General features: G+C 44.3%; 1 annotated feature.

The window, feature by feature from the left end:
- Positions 4568–4707: an enhancer, noted in NCBI's record as "active region_1889". NCBI's record gives its function as "activates an Ori minimal core promoter by ATAC-STARR-seq in GM12878 lymphoblastoid cells {active_cell/tissue: GM12878}" and the evidence as "EXISTENCE:reporter gene assay evidence [ECO:0000049][PMID:35858748]".

Here is a 6529-nt window from a genome sequence, read left to right as displayed (position 1 = left end):
TATCCTGGGAGCACAACTGGGAAGCTGGGAATCCATGTGTGGGTTCCATCCCTCCCTAGCCTCTGCAAATTAACATATAAGGAGAAGAGTCCCATTAATTCACTCAAGCTACCAGCTCTTTCCCACAGTGGTGCTGCACACACCAAGAAATGTGAGGATGTGGCTAGGCATCTGTTAGAAAAATTTCCAAATATTCCATTGTAATTACAGGTCTCTCTAACATCTACAGTGGGAGCTGATCTGCATTAAGTAAGCATCTCAAGAGTGAAGAATGGCTCAATTCCAAGTGAACCCAAATCTCAGCCCTATAACAGCCAAGATACCCTGCTCTGCCTTTTGTTTCAGGAAACAAACTTTGTAGTTTCTGCAAAGCTCTTCATCCTTACCCCAGAAGGGTTTGCAATGAGCATGCTGTTTCCTTCCTTTCTTCCTTTCTCTCTTTCTCTCTTTCTTTCTTTCTTTCTTTCTGACAGAGCCTCGCTCTATCACCCAGGCTGGAATGCAGTGACATGATCTCGGCTCACTACAACCTTCGCCTCCTGGATTCAAGTGATTCTCCTGCCTCAGCCTCCTGAGTAGCTGGGATTACAGATGCGCACCACCATGCCTGGTTAATTTTTGTTTTTTTAGTAGAGACAGGGTTTCACCATGCTGGCCAGGCTGGTCTAGAACTCCTGACCTTGTGATCTGCCCACCTCAGCCTCCCAAAGTGCTGGGATTACAGGCGTGAGCCACTGCACCCAGCCCTTGCTGTTTTCTTTAGGCTCTGCTCCCAGAAATAGTAACACAAATAATACTGGTTACCAAGGCGGTAGGTCTTTCAGAAATTAAAATACACATGCACACTCACAGACATGTACATCAATGGGGTACTACCATCACTGGAAAACACTGCATAAGCCCTGGACATTGACGTGAAGTGCAAATGTTTCCAACAAATTCAGAGAAAGACCGCAGAAACTAAGCTTTCAGAATATAGCTACCCACAGTCCAGCCTCTCAACCCATCTGTGTCTACACAGTAGCTAAGCAGAGAACATCAACATCAACATGTGTCTCTCTCAACTTAAGTTCCAGGGGGAAGATGCAAATAGAAAGGGGAGACATGGTTTGACTCATGATATCATCAGAAAAATGACAGACCAGGCCAGACTGTCCCCCATTCCCATGTAAGAAGAAAAACAGTACGTGAATCTAATATGCAGTTGTAGAAAAGTTAAAATTTTTCTCTAAGAAACACAAGGAAACTTTGTTAATATACTTTAAACTGATGAATTGTACTGGATGTAAACTGGACCTCAATAGAAGCCATCAGCCCCTGAATCACACTTGCTCCCTCCTATCTCAGACCTTCTCACACACCACTCCCTCTGCCTGGAATGTCACGTCCATTTCCTCCCAGTTCCCAGCTCCTTCATACTACATCTGATCTGCAGTGTTTTGCTTCTCAAGCATTTATCGTTTGTAATTAAAGATTATGTGTGTCAGTTATTTTTAACATGGGGTTCTCTCTGCATACATATGCTCCATGAAGGGCTGTTTTCTCATCATCAGATGAGCCCATCTGGGAATGCGGAGTGAAACTATCACCTTTTACCCCATCCTGGAATTGTGAAAAACGGAAGATTTCTAAGAAGATTCTGAGCAAATCCTTTTCTGGCACCTGTGGTCAGTCCCTACCAGGGTCCCCATCTTAAGCCTTCAAGACCTTTCGGTTCAAACTATTTTTTTAAAGGTAGAGAATGTAACAATACAATAAAACATGGACATAGTTTTTTAAAAGGAAATGGAAACATAATCCACAGATGGGAGAAAATATTTGCATTTGTATATGTGATAAGGTATTTTTATCCAGAATATATGAAAAACTCTCACAACTGAACAATAAAAAGACAAATAACCTAATTTACAAATAGGCAAATGATCTAATAGGCATTTCCCCAAAGAAGATATACAAATGGCCAGTACACACATGAAAAGATGCTTGGCAGCATTAGTCATCAGGAAAATGCAAACCAAAACCTTGAGATACCACTTCACATCCATCAGGGTAGCTAGAATCAAAAAGTTCATAATGACAAGTGCTGGCAAAGATGTGGAGAAATTGAAGCCCTCATACATTGATGGCGAAGTGCAGCTGTGTTAGAAGGCAGTCTGTCAGTTTCTCATATGATTGAACATAGAATTCTACCATATAATCCAGCAGTTCGTTCCACTTCTAGGCATATACCCAAGAGAAATGAAAACACATGTTCACACAGAAACTTGCACATGAGTGTTTATAGCAGCATTGTTCATAATAGCCAAATGGTGGAAACAAACAATGGATGAGTGAATACATAAATAAAATATTGTATATCCATATAATGGGATATTAGAACTGAACTATAACACAACACTGATGAACCTTGAAATGTTGTGCTGAATTAAAGCAACCAGTCACAGAAGACCACATCTATTTGATTCGACTCCTATGAAAGTCCAGAATAGGAAACACTATAGAGAGAGAAATTAGATTAGTGGTTACCCAGGGCTGAGGAAAGTCCAGAATAGGAAACACTATAGGGAGAGAAATTAGATTAGTGGTTACGCAGGGCTGTGGAATAGGAGAAAATGGGTGGATGGCCGAAGGATACAAACTTTTTTTGAGGTAATGAAAATGTCCTAAAATGGACTCTTTTGATGGCAGCACAAATTTGTGAATACATTAAAAAGTATTGAAATGTACACTTTAAATGGGGAAATATATGGTATGTAAATTATGTCCAATCAAAGCTGTTTTCTTTTTAAAGATTGTATTGGAAGTATAGAACAAGTGATATGGGGCCAGACTGACCTGAGTATGAATTTTTGCTCCAGTATTTACGAGCCTTGGGTCTTAAGTTCCTTTGATCCTCTAAGCCTTGCTTTTCTCATCTATAAAGTGAATACATTGATTATACCCACCACAAAGAGTTGTTCTGGGAATTGAGATAATGCATATCAAGTGCTTAGCCTCATTGCCTTGTACATAGTAGGCACTAAATAACTGTTAACTGAATGAAATATGCCAGGGAGCACACAGCCAGATGTAAACACGTAGAGCAGATGCCCAGGGCCCCCAGAGATTATTCAGAAGCCTGCAAATAAATTTGTTAGAGGAGCAGATTTTGTCCTTTGGTGGGGACAGCTTTCCAAAAGGGATAAAACCTATTTCAAAGCCCCAAGGATAGGGACACCCAAGCCAATCAATTAGTAGTAGACATTTTTTCTGGGTGGGAGTGGGGACGTTCTTTGCATGGTTAGATTCTAATAAATGGGCTCTCCTGCATCTCCCCACCCTACAGGGAATGGGGACAGTGGACTTCCCTCCTTTCCTCTACACATTCCCTGACCAGAAGGTCCAGGGGAAAGAAGGGGTGGGCAGAGAGCAGAGTGGTTACATGGGTGTGATGGTCAGAGGCCAGATCTCCCTCCAGGTCATCAGGACACTCAGGGTAGATCTCAGGAGATGGAAGTGTTCATGCCCGGGGACAGCCATCTCTGCACAGGAGAAATTCTTCCATCTCCCATGTAGGGAGGTTTTGAGGACTTTGGCAACAGCAGCCAACATCATTTGCGGGGTATGAAGGTCTCTGAAGGCCAGTGGGGGAGAAAACATCCACTCCTTGATGGAGCTGGTGCCGAGTGAGGGTCCTGGCAAGAACAGGGCTGCACTCTCTAACCAAATCCCAGACAGGAGTGAGGGCTTCTGCCTCATTATTAGCCTTGTCTTATCTCTGATTGTTATTTTCATTGGTGAGGCTCTTGGGATCATGCCACACAGTTAACTCTACCCCAGAGACTGTGACCCCAGGCACACATTTATACAGTTCCCCATGGTTTCCTAATGTTCATTTGAAATAATTGCCTTTTTCATAACCTGTTCTTTCTAGTCATTTGGAAACAAATACGTAATCTATTCAGCTTATCCATTGGCTTAGGTTTAATGACATTTCTTTCTGATGAGTGAAGAATCCACTGGGGGTGTGGAGGGAAGTGTTATAAATATACACTTTTAAAATTTTCTTTCATTGTAAATGGGTTTCAGTGGTTCATACTTTAAAATGCAGAAATAAGTTGACTAAAAGAATCAGTGTGTATCTATCCTCAGGGGTTTCCTATCCTCAAGGACATTTTTTTTTTGAGACAGGGTCTCCCTCTGTTGCCCCAGCTGGAGTGCAGTGGTGCTATCAGTGCTTCCTGTAGCCTCGACCTCCCTGGCTCAAGCAATCCTCTCACCTCAGTCTGCCAAGTAACTAGGACCACAGGTGTGCACCACCACGCCCAGATAATTTTTAGATTTTTTTTTTTTTTTTTTTTTTTTTTTTTGTAGAGACGAGGTCTCATTGTGTTGCCTACGCTGGTTTCAAACTTCTGGGCTCAAGCCATCCTCCCTCTTCTGCCTTCCAAAGTGCTGGGATTACAGGTGTGAGCCACCAATCCGGTCCAATAGTTTTACTTTGAAGAAAAATTTGGAAAATGCAGAGCCACGAGGGGGCGCCCTGGACTCTGGCCTGGTGGTAAAGCCAGCACCTTCAGAGTGGAGGAAGGATCTCCTAGACGCTGAGTTCAGAACGAAATAGGAGCATTGGCTGACCATCTGCCGGGGACCTCACTGGGCAAGCACAGGGCCTCACTTACTCAGCGCAGACACTCCCTGAAGTGGGTGCTTGTGCCCCATTGTGATGAGGTCACAGACTCAGGCAAGTTCAGCAATCTGTCCCGGGTCACTCAGATAATAAGTGGAAGACCCAGTTCTGTGCAGTTCTAAAGCCCGGGCTTTCCCAGACCAGCCGACTATGGCTTGGCCCATCTAGGGAGGGCTCAATACTTGGAAGGTGCTGGTCAGCGCAGAAGCGAGGCTGGTGGACACGTGTCCTCGGGGCAGGGTCACAGGCATCAGCCCACCAGGGAGGTGTTTCCAGCTGGGGTCACGAGGTCTCGGAGTGTTCCTGAATGTGGGAGAAACAGTCCCTCACCCTGACCATCTCGGAGTCTGTGTCCAGCAAGAGCCCTTGTTATTTGGAAGATACTCCCTTATTAATGGGGAGTATCTTGGTTTGCTGACTTGGTACCCATCCCCAGACAGGAGTATCTTTTCTATTATAAATGAGTAACTTGCTTTGTGCTTTAGAGATCATTGTCCACATAATTTTATCACCACGAATGTGTCACCAGGAGTCTGTTACTAAATAGTATAAGAATTTAGAGTTTTTAAACCTAAGATACTGAGGATAAAAACTGTAGACTTTGAGGTTCTCCCCATAAGGGGTAAAGAGTTTAGGGGGAAATTAGGTTCTACATCTGAAAAATAAAGTAGAAAAGATGTGGCCAGGAGAACTACTGAGGGGGTCAGGAACCAGGAAGGTGATGTTTATCAGGATGGGGAGAGGGGGCTGGAAGAGGGTCAGGAGCAAAAGAAAGGCAATAAACACTTACCCAGAGTTAATCTAATGAGATGACAATTCTTGTCTCCATTTTACACATGAGGAAACTGATGCTTAGAGAAGTTACATAACTTGATTAGGATCAAACAGCTAATATTTGGCAAGGCTGGGACCTGAACCTGGTTTTCCAGATACCAGTGCCCAGTCACTTTCCATAATGCCAAATGGCCTCTCAGAATCCCAACACCTCTTCTTTAAATGCTTTCCCTTTTTTCCTCAAATCCAGAAACTGTTGGTCTTTTGGGCAATTCTGACCACAGCCACTAAGTGGCGATATTGTCCAACTATGGCTCAGCCCTGTCTCTCCTAGGAAGAATGGGGGAAGGGAGGGAGTAGAAGATCCCCTGTTGTTTTTTGTGTGTTGTGCTGTTCGTAGCGCTTTTTTTTTTTTTTTTTTTTTTTGAGACGGAGTCTTGCTCTGTTGCCCAGGCTGAAGTGCAGTGGTGCGATCTCGGCTCACTGCAAGCTCCGTTTCCCGGGTACACGCCATTCTCCCTCCTCAGCCTCCAGAGTAGCTGGGACTACAGGCGCCCGCCACCACGCCCGGCTAATTTTTTGTATTTTTTAGTAGAGACGGGGTTTCACCATGTTAGCCAGGATGGTCTCGATCTCCTGACCTCGTGATCCGCCCGCCTCGGCCTTCCAAAGTGCTGGGATTACAGGCGTGAGTCACTGCGCCCGTCCGCGTGGGGCTTTCTTCTATCTATTTAGTCCTCCCAGCAACCCTGCAGAGGAAGTATTATCCCATTTTCCAGATGAGGCCATTGAGGATCTGCTGGATGACAGAGCTTAGCGGTAGAAGCAGGAATGGAATCAGTGTCCGGCTGGTTGCCAAGTCCTGCCTCCAAGCATCCTGGGTTCCCAAATATAAAGTCATTTTATGCCCTCAAATTTTAGTCTGGTGGGGAGGTAGATAGGGGAACTCCTTTAAGCCTGGGCTTGGACGGCCTAGTGAAGAAGAAGGGCGGGTGAGAAGTAACCATGCCTTTCCTTTGGTTACTGGAGGGAAGAATTAAGTTTTAAGGTGGAAGTTAAATACAGTTAAAATTACTCTGGTGTTGG

This window comes from Homo sapiens, chromosome 1 (genome assembly GCF_000001405.40).
Source record: "Homo sapiens chromosome 1, GRCh38.p14 Primary Assembly".
Lineage (NCBI taxonomy): Eukaryota > Metazoa > Chordata > Mammalia > Primates > Hominidae > Homo > Homo sapiens.
Note: the sequence above shows the minus strand (reverse complement) of the source record. Positions and strands in the feature narration are given on the sequence as shown.